The following is a 15,461-nucleotide window of genomic DNA, read 5'->3' as shown; positions in this document are numbered from 1 at the left end:
TGCCATTTGGACTTGGTACTCGGCTTAGTGATTAGAGGCCCTGAACAGGTGGTGGTATCCCTGCTCTGCTGGAGAGGAACCCAGGTGCACCGCAAGGGAGCTGTGCGAGGGCAGCCAGGGAGCCCTGGAGCTCTGTGAACTTGGGAACTTGCCACTCTTAGAATGTGACTTTCACAAAACTAGGAGTTGAGGAAGTGGAGCTGAAATTTTCTTTATGCCATTTATGCACCTCAGGGTGTGGACTTGGCAGCAGATCCCCAAAGGTGATAGGAAGGACTGGAGAAAGATCTGGCATGAACCCTGATGGGTGACCACATGTGTATCAAGCGTGTTCTTACAAGAAATAAATACTTATTGGGGAGAGGTGTTGGCAGCTGCTGGGGTGGTGGGTGCCCTATCTGCTCTGATTAAGGAGGGCAGCCCCCAAACCTTAGTAGACACATGCTAGAAAAATTCTGACTGTGGGGTGTTTAGCCCATCCTTTGGAAATAGCATCTAGCCACAGTGTGTCTAGACCTGCCTGGGTTTCCCTATAGTCAGCCGTCCAAAGAAGAATACAGGTTGCCTGGCTCCAGCACACCCAGGTGGCACCACAAGTTGAGAAAGCGCCTTTGAATGTAGGACGGAATTAAGTTAAATAGGAACAGCTGACCCTGATGGAACCACCCAGTGTGAAGGCTTCCAGGCAGTGGGGGCAGTGCTTCGGGGAAGGAAGCAAACACGCACAGGAACTGTTCTTAAACAGTTTCCATCCCACCAAGAGATCATCACTAAGGGAGCAGTGGGACTGGGATCCCCATGGGGAGGGTGTCCGTGTTCATCTGGAACTGCACTAGCCTTGGTGAAATCTAGGGGTCCCTAGGAGGAACCTCAGTGCCCCTTCTTCTTCCCATAGATGCTCTCCCCTCCTCGGAGGATGATGATGATGATGATGACTCCTCTTCAGAGGAGAAAGAAACAGATAACACCAAACCAAACCGTATGCGTGAGACACTGTTTCCTATCTTACTGCCCTTTGGGTCTGGGCATTGGGTTTAAGAGGGGAGGGGAAGGCTGAAAGGGGAGGAAGAGGAGGGCACATGGGGTCACGGTGCCTGTTCTGCTAAGTGCCAGGCACTGCTCACAGGTGTTGGGCAGATGGGCAAGACACCTCCAGGTCCTGGCCTGGGCCCTGCTCCTGAGCCTGACCAGCTGCTCCTCTCCACCCTGCCTGTCTCTCTTGGCTTTCCCCGGGCAGCCGTAGCTCCATATTGGACATCCCCAGAAAAGATGGAAAAGAAATTGCATGCAGTGCCGGCTGCCAAGACAGTGAAGTTCAAATGCCCTTCCAGTGGGACCCCAAACCCCACACTGCGCTGGTTGAAAAATGGCAAAGAATTCAAACCTGACCACAGAATTGGAGGCTACAAGGTACGTGTGTGTGCATGCGAAAGTTAGAGTAATGGGAACAGGGGAGGCCGAGTTAGGAAGTCCTGATTACATGCTTTTCATTTTTTTAAGTAATACTTTCCACCTATACAGGTTATTCATTAAAATTTTTAAATACAAAAAAATGCAAATAAAGTTTAAACATTTCTTCAGTCTTCTTTCTGTAATATGGTTTTTACATAGTTGATCACATCATGTATGTAATTTCCTTGCCTTGTCATTTGTTAACATGAGTCTTTTCCTGATATATTTCAAGCATGAATATTTGAAACATAATTTTTCATGACTGTATAAGATTCCATTATTTTAAAATCCCATAATTTGGCTGGGCATGGTGGCTCACGCCTAAAATCCTATCACTTTGGGAGGCCGAGGTGGGCGGATTGCCTGAGCTCAGGAGTTCGAGACCAGCCTGGGCAACATGGCGAAACCTCCTCTGTACTAAAAATACAAAAAATTAGCCATGTGTGGTGGCAGGCTCCTGTAATCCCAGCTACTGGGGAGGCTGAAGCAGGAGATTGCTTGAACCCAGGAGACAGAGGTTGCAGTGAGCTGAGATCACGTCATTTCACTCTAGCCTGGGTGACAGAGTGAGACTCTGTCTCCAAAAAACAACAGAAAAAGTCCTATAATTTAATGAACTATTTTGTGATATTAGGTATTTTCTGGTTTTTCACCATAATAAATAATGTTGCAGTGAATCTCTGTCAGCATTTTTTTAAGCGTGCTTCCTTAGGACAGATTGTTACAAGTGAAATTACTAACTTAAAGGGTGTAAGCATTTTTTTTTTTTTTTTAGACGGAGTCTCACTCTGTCACCCAGGCTGGAGTGCAGTGGTGCCATCTTGGCTCACTGCAAGCTCCACCTCCCAGGTTCATGCCATTCTCCTGCCTCAGCCTCCCGAGTACCTGGGATGTGCAGCCACCATTCCCAGCTAATTTTTGTATTTTTAGTAGAGACGGGGTTTCCCCATGTTGGCCAGGCTGGTCTTGAACTCATGACCTCAAGTGATCTGTCCGCCTGGGCCTCCCAAAGAGCTGGGATTACAGGCTTGAGCCACCGCACCCAGCCAGAAATATTTTAAATTAATTCACCATGCACTCACTACATGCAAGACACCATGCTTTAAATGCTGCAAGATAGCGTTCCTGCCCATAAAAATTTTGCAGTCTGATAGGAGGCAAATGTCCATGAGCAGCTACCGTAAAAAGTAGACTGTGATCAGTGCTTTGGTAGGCAGAGAGGAAAGGGTGAGCACAGTTCTGACCAGAGACTGGACTGGAGGAGATGGTTTTTGAAATGAGCTGTCAAGGACAGTGGGGGCTGGATTCTTAGTGTAATAGGAGAGGTGCACAGTTGGGAACATTCTTGGTGTATTTGGGAGTGTTTGCAGAAGGCACATCTGTCCGGATCACGAATGATCTTGAACGTCACAGTGGAGACTTCTGGAGTCTTTACACCCCATCTGCCAGCTTGCAGAGTGTGAACGGGCTGGTAGGGGGGCAATCCACGCCTTGTCCTAGCCAACCCTGCAGCCTGGGGCCCTGTGCCACCAGGCTCTGATATGGAGGGCAGGTGCCACGGGGTGCCGACATTGTCATGGGGCCTGCATTTTCCTCTGGACCCTCAATGTATCCCTTTGGCATTTCCCCTCAGGTCCGTTATGCCACCTGGAGCATCATAATGGACTCTGTGGTGCCCTCTGACAAGGGCAACTACACCTGCATTGTGGAGAATGAGTACGGCAGCATCAACCACACATACCAGCTGGATGTCGTGGGTAAGAGGGCAGAGGCAGCAGGAGGAATGAGTTTAGTGGGAAGAGCCAGGCTTGGAGAACACAGCCGGGGTGTCCAGGTTTCTTAGGGGCAGAGTCAGGATAGCGATTGGCACTTCTTGGCTTTGTCACCTTGAGCAGGTCACTTCTCCCTTTTGAGCCTCACTTTTCTTATCTGTAAAATAGAGTTAAGATCAGACAGTAACACGGTCAAAGCTGGTTGTCACTGTGAAATTGAAGGTGCTGTTCAGAGTCTGTCCTGAAGGAGGCGTTGTTGGAGAGGTGTTAAATGTAGCGTAATAGGAGCTGTCGCTTAATGCTAGCAAGATGCCAGGCTCCTTAAATACCTGCCCTGTAATGCTCATGGCACACCTGCAAGGTGGGCAGTATTAGTCTAGCCCTGCACAGGAGCACAGGCGCATAGGCTCAGAGAGGTCAGACACCTTGCTAATGCAGAACTGCACACCTGTGCCAACTTCAGGGCATCACAGGAGACTCTGGGAAGAACATTGAGCCTCTTGGAGCTATTACCGCAACCTTTTCCTTCTAGGAGTTCTGAAACTCACTCCCTAGAGATCATTGGGTACAGAATCTCTCAGCCAGTGTTCTTCTTGATTATGATGATATGGTCTAAGAAGGAGATTGTGGCCAGGAGCAGTGGCTTATGAGCTCCAGGTGGCATGATGGGATTACTCACGCCTGTGATCCCATCACTTTAGGAGGCCAAGGCTGGAGGATTGCTTGAGGCCAGGAGTGTGAGACCAGCCTGGGCAACACAGTGAGACCCTGTCTCTATAAAAAAATTTAAAAATTAGCCTAGTGCAGTGTCATGTACTTGTAGTACCAGCTGAGTTAACTGAGGCTACTGAGGTGGGAAGATCACTTGAGCCCAGGAATTCGAAGCTGCAGTGAGCTATGATGACACCCTTGTGCTCCAGCATGGGTGACAGAGTGAGACCCTGCCTTTAAAAAAAAAAAAGGTAAAAAGGAGATTCTGATCCAAGAGGTTGGGGTAAGATCTGAGATTCCGCGTTTCTAACAAGCTCCTAGGGGATGCTGGTAGCACTGCTCGTGGACCACACTTTGAATAGCAGGAGTCAAAGTGACTCTGGTTTTTTAAGGAGGAGCAGGTTGTGCTGAGGTCTGGGGGTGCAACTGAATTAGAAGGTTCTCCATTAAAGCATGAGCGACTTACTGTGACTGTAAATATGATGACTGCCTTGGGGAGGAGGATCCTGATGGCTTAGGGCCTGAAGAGAGGGTGTCCCTTTCCCCAGCTCTGTTTTGAGAGGCTTGGGCTCAGCAGAAGTGCTGGGAGGTTTACAACCCATCACTGGGAAAGCCAAGTGGGGCGCAGGTGAGCCCACCCCTCTTTAGCCATGGCAAGGTCCCCATGACAAGTGCCTCCTCTCCCATCTTCCACAGAGCGGTCCCCTCACCGGCCCATCCTGCAAGCAGGGTTGCCCGCCAACAAAACAGTGGCCCTGGGTAGCAACGTGGAGTTCATGTGTAAGGTGTACAGTGACCCGCAGCCGCACATCCAGTGGCTAAAGCACATCGAGGTGAATGGGAGCAAGATTGGCCCAGACAACCTGCCTTATGTCCAGATCTTGAAGGTAATCATGGCACCAGTCTTCGTGGGCCAGTCTACTGGGAAGGAGACCACTGTCTCGGGGGCTCAAGTTCCTGTGGGCAGGCTCAGTTGCCCCCGAATGGGATCATTCCTCACGCTTCAGGCACACACACTCCATCTCAGTAGGGATCTAGCCACATCCCCCAGGACTAGTAACAGAGGTCACAAAGTGGAGGTGAGCTGGGAACAGAGGGCTGCAGGGATGGGTGGTGCTGGTCTGTAATAAGCTTTGAGAGCAACGTCACTGGGGCTTTGGGGTCAGCTACACAAGGAAGGCATTTGGACCCCTGCCTTTTCATTGCCCGAAACCAGAGCCTTTCCACCAAGCGTTTCCCAGTCTTAGCCCTGTGTCCTGAGTTACGTACGATCTTTCTGGCAAATGGGGTGCATGATAAGAGCATCTCTTACGAAGAGTTGGAAAAACAAATGCCATATATAAATTCTAAGCCATATGAGGACGAGGAGTAATGGCATTTTCTTCCTTTTTCCTCTCACTCCCAGACATTCATTGTCCCTGAATGCTCCATTAATCCAGGGAAGGTAATTGCCTAAATCTCCAGTGGATCTCGCAACAGGAAGGAACCAGAAGCTGGGAAAGTTGTTTACCTCTTTGTCCCAGAGTTAGACCTCATCCTCCCCTAGCTTAGCTGTCTCAGAGATATACTGGCCCTCCCTTCTCTTCTCTTTGCTGCTGGTGCTAAAACTGCTCTGTAGGTCATTGGCCACTGTCTCCACTCACAACCCCTGCTCCAGTCCTGGAGGGAGTGGGTTAAACACAAATAGAACATTCCATTTGAAGCAGTGATTCTTTTTTTTTTTTTTTTTTTTTAATCAAATGCTTTGGACTTTTGAAGTCCACTTGTTCTGTACTTGTAAAAGGGAAAGAAGGCCGGGCGCAGTGGCTCACGCCTGTAATCCCAGCACTTTAGATCACTTGAGGTCAGGAGTTTGAGACCAGCCCGGCCAACATGGTGAAACCCCATCTCTACTAAAAATACAAAAATTAGCTGTGCATAGTGGTTGGCACCTGTAGTCCCAGCTACTCAGGAGGCTGAGGCAAGCTAACTGCTTGAACCCAGAAGGCAGAGGTTGCAGTGAGCTGAGATCACGCCACTGCACTCCAGCCTGGGTGACAGAGTGAGTGAGACTCTGCGTTAAAAAAAAAAAAAAAAAAAAAAACTAAAAGGGAAAGGTAATAAATCTCACTTAACATCTCCCTTCGCTCCCTGGGCCTGCCTGAAAGTTACACGGGAGCAACGTGCGTGGCCACATCTCAGCTTTGCCCAACTGACTGGTGTGTCGTTGGTTTGTTCCAGCATTCGGGGATTAATAGCTCGGATGCGGAGGTGCTGACCCTGTTCAATGTGACAGAGGCCCAGAGCGGGGAGTATGTGTGTAAGGTTTCCAATTATATTGGTGAAGCTAACCAGTCTGCGTGGCTCACTGTCACCAGACCTGTGGCAAAAGGTAATGGGGAGATGGATGGGACCCTGTGCTGGGGATTTGATGTAGGCCCCAAGCTGCTGGGGCAGGCGGGGAAGCCAGTACTGGACTGTCCTTGCCACCCTACTGTATTTCTAGTGCCCAGAGCCATGGAAAAATACCCGGCCTGGGAGGCTGGTTTGGTTTGGTATTGTGTTGGTGTCTGTGGGTTCCCTCTCTGCCTTCTGTGTGTTCCTTGGCTTTGTGTGGATCCATGTGAGGACTCACGGGGACACGGTTTTGCTGTGTTACAAATGGTACTTCAGACTGAAGTTGTGAGTGAGTGGTGATTAAGAGAAGGGGCCATAGGCCAGGCACAGTGGCTCACGCCTGTCATCCCAGCACTTTGGGAGGCTGAGGTGGGAGGATCGCTTGAAGCCAGGAGTTTGAGACCAGCCTGGGCAACATAGCAAGACCCCATCTCTACAAATTAAATAAATTAGCCAAGTATGGTGGCGTGTGCCTGTAGTCCCAGCTAGTCTGAAGGCTGAGGCAGGAGGATTGCCTGAGCTTAGGTCGAGGCTGCAGTGAGCTATGTTTATGCCACTGCACCCCAGCCTGGGTTGACAGAATGGTACCCCATCTCTTAAAAAAGAGAGAGAAGGGGTTAGGCATTCCCTTGCATACTCGCATCTGCTGGCTGTGTATGCACATGTGCGTGTGTGTATGCGTGTGCATGTGTGTGTCTGCAGCCCCCGCCATCCCTCCTGTGTTCACCTTCTGGCTATCTTTACCTGAAACCAAACAGCCCCTGCCCGCCGGCCCCATTTCTCCATGCCGCTCACCGCCCGCATGCTCGGATGGGCCAGTGGCTGCCAGCATCTGGTGAAGGGTCGTAACCAGCCATCGTCTTCTCAGGTCTGCCGGAGTTCTTCCCTCAGGGTCTCACCCTCTTCCTCTAACAGGTTTTGCTGCCTGGTGGTTTTCGTTTGTTCCTTGTTGCAAAGAAGATGTCAGGGAGCATTTCTTCCTCTAGTCCCCCTTCTTTCTGTCTCCTTCCCTTGCTCTGCGTCTCTTAGAGGTCTCATGTCCTGTGCTTGTCCATTTTGCTTCCGTTGTCTCTTCTAGACTGCTGGAGTTAATACCACCGACAAAGAGATGGAGGTGCTTCACTTAAGAAATGTCTCCTTTGAGGACGCAGGGGAGTATACGTGCTTGGCGGGTAACTCTATCGGACTCTCCCATCACTCTGCATGGTTGACCGTTCTGGAAGGTACACACTGTAACTTCTCCTCTCGATGTCCTGCCCTCGCCACGGGCACGGGGGGAGCATGCATTTCCAGGCTTGGGGAGACACAGAGGCAGGAGAGCTGGAAGAATGGGCTCCTGCCTGCCTGGTGCCACATCCTGCCCCAGCTTTGAGGGCTGAATCCTCTCAGCTCAGAGAAGAGCTTCCCTAGTTTTGCAGGCGCACGGAGGCCTCCCACCCGTACACCTGCCTCTGCTCTCCCCCTGGCCATTGCAATGCATGCCCGGGATCTGGGTTTACCCTGCAGCCCGACTCCTCCAGGGCAGGCTCCTTCCGTCCTTGGGTCCAGCAGCCTCCCCCCTCCGCTGGGTACTGAGCATCTGAAAAGTCTCAGATAGGGCCCTACACCTCTTCTCCCTTCTCAAGTGCTCAGCCCAGGGGTGGGGCTTGCTGCTTGCAAAGAGCAGCCCACCCTCCTGTACTGCCATCCTATTGCCTTTGAAGAAGGAGGTCAGCCTGGACAGGTGAACTGAGTTGCCTTCAGAAAGGCCTGTCTCAGGCAGCCGCAGCAGGCTTCACGATGTCCATGTATCCTGTTTGCCTGCTGCCGTCTCTCCTCTCCCAAGAGGGGAGGTCTGCGTGTTGAGCCAGGGAGGAAGGAGCCTGCAGCCTGCTCAGGGTGGTGGCTGGTGACTGCGGGGCCAGGGCTTGCTGCTGTCTCTCGGAATGTCCTGCATGTGGGTCTGGCTGTTCCTGCTGGCACTGCCCTCTTCTCTCTCCCCTCCTTTCCCACTCTGCCCTGCTTGCCCGTCAGGGTCTCCGGATGCCCCTGCTGGAGGCAGAGAAGCGTTCTGTTTTTATCATCGTCCCTGTCTTGGTCCTGTCCGTGCTCCCCATGTGCTCCCAATCAGTTGTCTTCGTTCCTCAACATCAGGGAAAGAAAAAACAGCAACACTTCTCCCTGTCATCAGCTCTGCTGTCTCCTTGTCAGGCCTTGGGACGTTCTCTGGGCTCAGTCTAGGGTCGTGCCTCATGCCTCATGCCTCTCTGGGAAGGTTCCCAGGGGCGCCGCCTCCATGGTTGGCTGGTGGGTTTTAAAGGGGAAGGTTGGGAGGAGGCCTGTGGAAGGAGGAGGGCCGTCCACACCCGTGGGGCAAAGCGTGTTCCATGAAACCAGTGCTGTGCGTGCTGGGATGAAAGCCTCCCAGCCTCTCGTGCTGAAGGGAAAGGTGGACCGAACTGGCTTAGCTGCTGTGGCAATGGGGTGGGGGGTGAGTCCTAATCAGAAGGTGGGAGAAGAGAATAACAAAATGGAACTCCGCCCCCTGCCGCCACATTTCCTTAAGTTTTAGGAGTTGGGGCCTATGAGTAGAATTTGAAAGAACTACCAAAAAAGCTTATTTTTGGAAATTAAGTCAGCTTTGCCTGTGGTTTGGCTAGGAATAAATATTTACCTGTGTGCCCCTACAGAGATGACACAGACCCAAAGTGGGACATTGAGCAAGGCACAGGCTGGTTCCCCTCCTGTCCTCTGTCCTCATTCTGTGAGTGCCACCATCACCAGGTACTGTGGCCTGCAGAAATAAACGAGGCACCAACCCTGCCCTCAGGGACCCCGTGTCTTCTTAGGGACAGAGGACTCAGAAACATCTGTGTCCCCGCATGTTAAGTGCATGCACACAGTGCTGAGGCTTTGCAGAGAAGGGCCATGGCTCCCTGAGGAGACCAAGAAAGGCACATAGAAGTGACTTCTCAGCTGGCCCTTGCAGGATCCCTGGGTGCCTGTACCTCTCCAGTCCAGCTGAGCAAGGAGGCTCAGGAATTAATGAAGATGGGGCTTGTGTAGCACGATGGTTCTAGGCCATCCCTTTTCCATGGCTCAAGTCCATTGAAGGCAGCCTCCAAAATCAGGGGGTTGCCTGATCCTCCTAGTGCCACAATCCCAGTCCTAGCTAGAACTTGCCATGGTTCTTCTCCCTAAAAGTTCCCAGGGGACAGGAGACAGGTGTTGCTTTTCTAATGGAGCGGGACCTCGCATGGACGGGGCCCTCCAAGCCTGCTAACACCCTGTTCGCACTGACTCAGCCCTGGAAGAGAGGCCGGCAGTGATGACCTCGCCCCTGTACCTGGAGATCATCATCTATTGCACAGGGGCCTTCCTCATCTCCTGCATGGTGGGGTCGGTCATCGTCTACAAGATGAAGAGTGGTACCAAGAAGAGTGACTTCCACAGCCAGATGGCTGTGCACAAGCTGGCCAAGAGCATCCCTCTGCGCAGACAGGTAACAGAAAGTAGATGGGGGATTTGCACACTCAGCACCACCTCTCTCTCTGGGCCTCTAATGCCCTGCCCTCTCCATTGTCCCTAATTTATAGCTTTGGGCCTTATTTTCTGGCTTCTGGGCAAGGCACAGTGGAATATCATGAACTAAGTGCTCTAGAGTCTGTTTCAAGCTAGTGTAGCCCGTGAATTTCCTGCACCCTCCATATCACACTGCAAGTCCTCCGGACTCCTGGGACATGGATTGGGAGGAAGTCCTATTTGGACAGAATGTGCAGCCAATAGCATGAATTTGAACTGTCCCCAAGGGCTGCTTAGAAGTGCAGAGATGCAGGGTAGAGAAGAGAACTGTTTGTATTAGTCCATTTTCACACTGCTGAGAAAGACATACCCAAGACCGGGCAATTTACAAAAGAAAGAGGTTTAATGGACTCACAGTTCCACGTGGCTGGGGAGGCCTCACAATTGCAGAAGGCAAAAGGCACGTCTCACATGGCGGCAGACGAGAAGAGAGCTTGTACAGGGAAACTCCCCTTTATAAAATCATCAGATCTCGTGAGATTTATTCACTATCACAAGAACAGCACAGGGAAGACCTGCCCCCATGAGTCAATGACCTCCTACCAGGTCCCTCCCATAACACGTGGGAATTCAAGATGAGATTTGGGTGGGGACACAGCCAAACCATCTCAGCCATACCATACCCTTGTCCCCTGTGTGCCCACCCTTCCCCACGGGAGGAAATGGTACAGATGGCACAGGTGTGTGCAAGAATGACCGTTCCCTCAGAAGCCTGTGCTCATTCTGGAAGGTGCTTTGGGAGTTAGGAATCCATAAGCTAAGGCAAAGTATTTGCAAAGAGTCAGGAGAACAGAGTTGTTACTGCAATGATCAGTTATAAAATGTCAAGCTGGAAGAGGTGCATTTGGTCTGCTTATTTTAAAGGTGAGTGAAGTCCAGAAAGGCCAGCTTGTGGCAGAAATAGGTCAGTCCTAGAAGTTGGGCCTCCTGGCCTACCATGGTCTTTGGACCACTCTGTGTTGAGGAAAGAACATCAGATACACAGACATGTGCCTCTGCCATTGTTGGGAAGCCCTGACTAAGAATGGGAAGGAGTCACCCCGTCCCCCCTCCTTGCTCTAGGGTGACCCCACTCTTCCTTGCAGGTGTCTGCTGACTCCAGTGCATCCATGAACTCTGGGGTTCTTCTGGTTCGGCCATCACGGCTCTCCTCCAGTGGGACTCCCATGCTAGCAGGGGTCTCTGAGTATGAGCTTCCCGAAGACCCTCGCTGGGAGCTGCCTCGGGACAGGTAATAATACTTTGACTCCCAACTTTTTGAAGGCATTCCTTGCTTGCTATTCTAGTGGTGGAAGGTGTGTATACTAACACCTTCTGGGCGGTGAAGGTTCATGAAATGCCTGCAGAAACATTCATTCCACTTTCTGCTCGCAGTTGGGTGAAATACAGAGAGGTGGAGATGGGGTGCCTCTCAAGGTTTGAACTTCACCAGCCCCAACTTATGCCACTCTCTGTTTCCCCCGAAAGACTGGTCTTAGGCAAACCCCTGGGAGAGGGCTGCTTTGGGCAGGTGGTGTTGGCAGAGGCTATCGGGCTGGACAAGGACAAACCCAACCGTGTGACCAAAGTGGCTGTGAAGATGTTGAAGTGTAAGTGATGCTTCTGTCCTTGCAAAGAAAATCTTGTCCCATTCCAAGCAAACAGCAGGCCTCGGGCCCAGCAGAACAGCTTCTCTGGTGCCTTTGCTGCCCACACCTGCTCCGCTGCCTGCTTGGGGTTACCTGGGAGTGGAGGGGGTGTTCTGCACCTTGAGATTGTTCTATGACGTCACTCTGTTCCTTGGCGTCAACCTGGGCTGTGGTCAGGTGTTTATCCTGGATCCATCGCTTGCAGGCTTTCCTCACCACATCCCTGCCCACTCACTACCACCTATTGCAACAACGGCTCCCATGAGAGGGAAGAGAAAACAAGTTTGGATGAAGTGGGGAGGAGAGAATCAAGTCCCAGGGAAAAGCAGCCCCTCGACACATACCCCACTCCCTTAGCCTTTATCCTGCCCTCCTCCCTTCCCAAGTAAATGAGTCTCAACGTGTTCTTTAAAGCGGACGCAACAGAGAAAGACTTGTCAGACCTGATCTCAGAAATGGAGATGATGAAGATGATCGGGAAGCATAAGAATATCATCAACCTGCTGGGGGCCTGCACGCAGGATGGTGGGTGCCGGCCAGACTGGCTTTCCCTGCCCAGCGGGGAGAAGATCTGAGCTGGGGTATCAGTCCCAAGGCCTCTCTCAGCCACAGCTAGGGAAGGGGGTTAAGAGAGGCTGCTTTGGCAGAGGTTTAAAATGTGTTATCTCGGGATCTGGGCTCCGCTCATTGGTGTTCATTCAGGAATACAGATACCTAGATTCACACACGTGGTGTGTTAACAGAGGCAGCTGAGTAATTATGGTCTAAGAGCGCTCAGGCTGGGTGCAGTGGCTCATGCCTGTAATCCCAGCAATTTGGGAGGCCGAGGCAGGAAGATCACTTGAGATCAGGAGTTCGAGACCAGTCTGGTCAAAATGGTGAAACCCCATCTCTACTAAAAAATACAAAAGTTAGCCAGGCATGGTCACGCATGCCTATAATCCCAGCTACTCAGGAGGCTGACGCATAAGACTTGCTTGAACCCGGGAGGTGGAGGTTGCAGTGAGCCAAGATCACGCCATTGTACTCCAGCTTGGGAGATACTCCCGCTGTCTCAAAAATAAAATAAATAAATAGGCCAGGCACAGTGGCTCACGCCTGTAATCCCAGCACCTTGGGAGGGTGAGGCGGGTGGATCACTTGAGGTCAGGAGTTGGAGACCAGCCTGGCCAACAGGTGAAACCCCATCTCTACTAAAAATACAAAAAGTAGCCGGGCGTGGTGGCGCATGCCTGTAATTCCAGCTACTCGGGAGGCTGTGGCAGGAGAATCGTTTGAACACGGGAGGCGGAGGTTGCGGTTAGCCGAGATCGCGCCATTGCACTCCAGCTTGGGCAACGAGCAAAACTCCATCTCAAAAAAAAAAAAAAAAAAAAAAAAAATTAGCCAGGCATTGTTCATGCCTGTAATCCCAGCTGCTTGGGAGGCTGAGGCAGGAGAATCACTTGAATCCAGAAGGCAGAGGTTGCAGTGAGCCGAAATTGCGCCACTGCACTCCAGCCTGGGCAACAGAGTGAGACTCCATCTCAAAATAAACAGACAAACTGGGGCTCTTACCCCAATGTTGCTCGGGAATTTTCTGGACTATGCTGGGAGTAATTATTTCTCTGATTTTTTTTGGGTAGTAGAATGGATTTCCCAGGTCCCCTAAGAGGAGGCAGGAGATGGGAGGTTGGCCGGGGTGTGCTGCTGGGGGTGGGGTTTCTTTGAGGTGAAGCCAAACCTGCTCACCTGCTGCTGGCCCCATGGCCTCTTCTCCTGTGCCTGCAGGTCCCTTGTATGTCATCGTGGAGTATGCCTCCAAGGGCAACCTGCGGGAGTACCTGCAGGCCCGGAGGCCCCCAGGGCTGGAATACTGCTACAACCCCAGCCACAACCCAGAGGAGCAGCTCTCCTCCAAGGACCTGGTGTCCTGCGCCTACCAGGTGGCCCGAGGCATGGAGTATCTGGCCTCCAAGAAGGTGTGGAACCTGAAGGCTCCCCTGGGTAATGCCAGGGTGGGAACAGAGCCCCCCTAGTCTTCCAGCCTGTGACTTATCATCTTGTGGTGGCGTTGTGGATGCACTGAGCACTGGCCCTGTGTGCCCTGTGTGTTGTCTTAGGCTCTCTGGGAACTGCAGAGTCAGGAGCACCAGTGTAGCCAGGTGGCCTTGGGGTCAGACTGATGCAGGGTCCGATCTGTGCACTGCCACTTTCTGCGTAGCCTCAGGCAGCTACTTAGCATCTTAAAATTCTTCAAATACAAAATAATAATAATATCAGCTGGGTGCAGTGGCCAAGGCGGGAGGATTGCTTGAGCTCAGGAGTGTGAGACCAGGTTGGGCAATATATTGAAACCCCGTCTTTAAAAAAAAAAAAAAAATTAAAAAATTAGCTGGGTGTGGTAGTGCGTGCCGATAGTCCCAGCTACTCGGGAGGCTGAGGTGGGAGGCTAGCTTGAGCCCAAGAGTTTGAGGCTGCACTGAGCCATGATCACACCACTGCACCCCAGCCGGGGCGACAGAGCAAGGCCCTGTCTCAAAAGAAAATAAAGTATAACAATACCTGTTGTAGAATTGTTATGAAGATAAAATGAAACTGTCTGTGAGTGTTGAGTGCAGTGTTTGGTGTGTAAGGGCTGGCCTGGTTTGAGCCCAGCCCCATGTGGACTTGCTGTGCTGGGAGGCAGGACCTAGGAGCATGCATCGCTGCAGACGCAGCAGAGGCATAAGGGGCCAGTCTTTGGGGAAGGAAGGGAGGAGCGCTTGCTGTGATGAGAAGCCTGGAGCTGGCAGAGAATGTTAGAAGAGGGAAAGCAAAGGTTCGGGGGGCAGAGCAGTGTGGCAGAAGTTCTATGAGACAAGTCGGCTAGTTGCATGGGTGGCGGCCGCCCAGAGCCTTCCAGCTCCCTCACCTCCCCGCCTCCCGCTCTCCCTTCCTCCTTCCTCAGTGCATACACCGAGACCTGGCAGCCAGGAATGTCCTGGTGACAGAGGACAATGTGATGAAGATAGCAGACTTTGGCCTCGCACGGGACATTCACCACATCGACTACTATAAAAAGACAACCAACGTGAGTGCCGACAAGGCCGCCCTGTGCTGGTGGTTTCATCTGAGAAGCAAGGAGTGGGGTGGGCTGAGAACCCACCCCCCAGTCCCTTCCCACCTGTGCCCTCATGGCCCTGCCTGGGGCCACTCCAACCTCCCCTGTGCTGCTTTCAGGGCCGACTGCCTGTGAAGTGGATGGCACCCGAGGCATTATTTGACCGGATCTACACCCACCAGAGTGATGTGTGAGTTTGTAATAGCAATTGCCAGGGAGGTGTGGGATAGAGAGCTTCTAGCACTGTAGAGTCCTGCTTTCTCCCTGGACTGAGGAGTCCTCTTTCTGCCCCAGAGAGAAAAACAAAACATTGTCTGTGGCCATTCCCTCTGCTCCAGATGTTGAAAGGCTGATCTGTTCTCCATGCTGTCTCCTGGCACTGCCCTGGGTAGAGGATTTGTGCTGGGGGAGGGGAGGCGGAGAAGCTCTAACACCCTGTGGCTCTCCGCCCATTTGCAGGTGGTCTTTCGGGGTGCTCCTGTGGGAGATCTTCACTCTGGGCGGCTCCCCATACCCCGGTGTGCCTGTGGAGGAACTTTTCAAGCTGCTGAAGGAGGGTCACCGCATGGACAAGCCCAGTAACTGCACCAACGAGCTGTAAGCCCGAGGAGATGTCGGAGGCCCTGAGCCAGGCCTTGGGGCAAGAGTGGGCTTGAGGGGCAGGGGGCTAGACTAGAGAGTATCCATCTCCAGGAGACGTCCCTGACCTTACAGTCCTGCCGCAGGTACATGATGATGCGGGACTGCTGGCATGCAGTGCCCTCACAGAGACCCACCTTCAAGCAGCTGGTGGAAGACCTGGACCGCATCGTGGCCTTGACCTCCAACCAGGTAAGGCTGCCCGTGCCAGAGCCAGAGCTCAGGCCGTCCCCACTGCGT

At 52.2% G+C, this 15,461-nt stretch overlaps 1 protein-coding gene across 14 annotated transcripts in view, besides 12 other annotated features; it reads left to right on the top strand.

The window, feature by feature from the left end:
* The window catches only part of FGFR1 (fibroblast growth factor receptor 1), a 57,493-nt gene that overhangs the window by 39,305 nt on the left and 2,727 nt on the right, over positions 1-15,461 (top strand). For 6 of the 14 annotated variants that reach the window (NM_001354370.2, NM_023106.3, NM_001354367.2 and 3 more), the window contains 14 exons: positions 896-979; positions 1,238-1,410; positions 3,086-3,209; positions 4,632-4,822; positions 7,390-7,534; positions 9,596-9,798; positions 10,958-11,103; positions 11,340-11,461; positions 11,915-12,025; positions 13,271-13,461; positions 14,430-14,552; positions 14,702-14,772; positions 15,042-15,179; positions 15,308-15,413. In NM_001354370.2, the coding sequence (NP_001341299.1) occupies positions 896-979; positions 1,238-1,410; positions 3,086-3,209; positions 4,632-4,822; positions 7,390-7,534; positions 9,596-9,798; positions 10,958-11,103; positions 11,340-11,461; positions 11,915-12,025; positions 13,271-13,461; positions 14,430-14,552; positions 14,702-14,772; positions 15,042-15,179; positions 15,308-15,413 (1,928 nt within the window). Of the gene's footprint in view, positions 1-895; positions 986-1,237; positions 1,411-3,085; positions 3,210-4,631; positions 4,823-7,389; positions 7,535-9,595; positions 9,799-10,957; positions 11,104-11,339; positions 11,462-11,914; positions 12,026-13,270; positions 13,462-14,429; positions 14,553-14,701; positions 14,773-15,041; positions 15,180-15,307; positions 15,414-15,461 lie in introns of all 14 variants that reach the window. The other 8 variants (NM_001354368.2, NM_001354369.2, NM_001410922.1 and 5 more) reach the window with 3 other exon arrangements.
* Positions 663-1,660: an enhancer, noted in NCBI's record as "OCT4-H3K27ac-H3K4me1 hESC enhancer chr8:38285189-38286186 (GRCh37/hg19 assembly coordinates)". NCBI's record gives its function as "activates a minimal SCP1, AML or CMV promoter by ChIP-STARR-seq in primed H9 embryonic stem cells {active_cell/tissue: H9 hESC(primed)}" and the evidence as "EXISTENCE:reporter gene assay evidence [ECO:0000049][PMID:30033119]".
* Positions 3,207-3,898: an enhancer, noted in NCBI's record as "OCT4-H3K4me1 hESC enhancer chr8:38282951-38283642 (GRCh37/hg19 assembly coordinates)". NCBI's record gives its function as "activates a minimal SCP1, AML or CMV promoter by ChIP-STARR-seq in primed H9 embryonic stem cells {active_cell/tissue: H9 hESC(primed)}" and the evidence as "EXISTENCE:reporter gene assay evidence [ECO:0000049][PMID:30033119]".
* Positions 5,646-6,146: an enhancer, noted in NCBI's record as "OCT4-H3K27ac hESC enhancer chr8:38280703-38281203 (GRCh37/hg19 assembly coordinates)". NCBI's record gives its function as "activates a minimal SCP1, AML or CMV promoter by ChIP-STARR-seq in primed H9 embryonic stem cells {active_cell/tissue: H9 hESC(primed)}" and the evidence as "EXISTENCE:reporter gene assay evidence [ECO:0000049][PMID:30033119]".
* Positions 6,147-6,647: an enhancer, noted in NCBI's record as "OCT4-H3K27ac hESC enhancer chr8:38280202-38280702 (GRCh37/hg19 assembly coordinates)". NCBI's record gives its function as "activates a minimal SCP1, AML or CMV promoter by ChIP-STARR-seq in primed H9 embryonic stem cells {active_cell/tissue: H9 hESC(primed)}" and the evidence as "EXISTENCE:reporter gene assay evidence [ECO:0000049][PMID:30033119]".
* Positions 6,761-7,304: an enhancer, noted in NCBI's record as "OCT4-H3K4me1 hESC enhancer chr8:38279545-38280088 (GRCh37/hg19 assembly coordinates)". NCBI's record gives its function as "activates a minimal SCP1, AML or CMV promoter by ChIP-STARR-seq in primed H9 embryonic stem cells {active_cell/tissue: H9 hESC(primed)}" and the evidence as "EXISTENCE:reporter gene assay evidence [ECO:0000049][PMID:30033119]".
* Positions 7,305-7,850: an enhancer, noted in NCBI's record as "OCT4-H3K4me1 hESC enhancer chr8:38278999-38279544 (GRCh37/hg19 assembly coordinates)". NCBI's record gives its function as "activates a minimal SCP1, AML or CMV promoter by ChIP-STARR-seq in primed H9 embryonic stem cells {active_cell/tissue: H9 hESC(primed)}" and the evidence as "EXISTENCE:reporter gene assay evidence [ECO:0000049][PMID:30033119]".
* Positions 7,851-8,395: an enhancer, noted in NCBI's record as "OCT4-H3K27ac-H3K4me1 hESC enhancer chr8:38278454-38278998 (GRCh37/hg19 assembly coordinates)". NCBI's record gives its function as "activates a minimal SCP1, AML or CMV promoter by ChIP-STARR-seq in primed H9 embryonic stem cells {active_cell/tissue: H9 hESC(primed)}" and the evidence as "EXISTENCE:reporter gene assay evidence [ECO:0000049][PMID:30033119]".
* Positions 8,396-8,941: an enhancer, noted in NCBI's record as "OCT4-H3K27ac-H3K4me1 hESC enhancer chr8:38277908-38278453 (GRCh37/hg19 assembly coordinates)". NCBI's record gives its function as "activates a minimal SCP1, AML or CMV promoter by ChIP-STARR-seq in primed H9 embryonic stem cells {active_cell/tissue: H9 hESC(primed)}" and the evidence as "EXISTENCE:reporter gene assay evidence [ECO:0000049][PMID:30033119]".
* Positions 9,043-9,544: an enhancer, noted in NCBI's record as "OCT4 hESC enhancer chr8:38277305-38277806 (GRCh37/hg19 assembly coordinates)". NCBI's record gives its function as "activates a minimal SCP1, AML or CMV promoter by ChIP-STARR-seq in primed H9 embryonic stem cells {active_cell/tissue: H9 hESC(primed)}" and the evidence as "EXISTENCE:reporter gene assay evidence [ECO:0000049][PMID:30033119]".
* Positions 10,405-11,168: an enhancer, noted in NCBI's record as "OCT4 hESC enhancer chr8:38275681-38276444 (GRCh37/hg19 assembly coordinates)". NCBI's record gives its function as "activates a minimal SCP1, AML or CMV promoter by ChIP-STARR-seq in primed H9 embryonic stem cells {active_cell/tissue: H9 hESC(primed)}" and the evidence as "EXISTENCE:reporter gene assay evidence [ECO:0000049][PMID:30033119]".
* Positions 12,077-12,742: an enhancer, noted in NCBI's record as "OCT4-H3K27ac hESC enhancer chr8:38274107-38274772 (GRCh37/hg19 assembly coordinates)". NCBI's record gives its function as "activates a minimal SCP1, AML or CMV promoter by ChIP-STARR-seq in primed H9 embryonic stem cells {active_cell/tissue: H9 hESC(primed)}" and the evidence as "EXISTENCE:reporter gene assay evidence [ECO:0000049][PMID:30033119]".
* Positions 13,183-13,953: an enhancer, noted in NCBI's record as "OCT4-H3K27ac-H3K4me1 hESC enhancer chr8:38272896-38273666 (GRCh37/hg19 assembly coordinates)". NCBI's record gives its function as "activates a minimal SCP1, AML or CMV promoter by ChIP-STARR-seq in naive H9 embryonic stem cells {active_cell/tissue: H9 hESC(naive)}" and the evidence as "EXISTENCE:reporter gene assay evidence [ECO:0000049][PMID:30033119]".

Source organism: Homo sapiens, chromosome 8 (assembly GCF_000001405.40).
Source record: "Homo sapiens chromosome 8, GRCh38.p14 Primary Assembly".
Lineage (NCBI taxonomy): Eukaryota > Metazoa > Chordata > Mammalia > Primates > Hominidae > Homo > Homo sapiens.
Note: the sequence above shows the minus strand (reverse complement) of the source record. Positions and strands in the feature narration are given on the sequence as shown.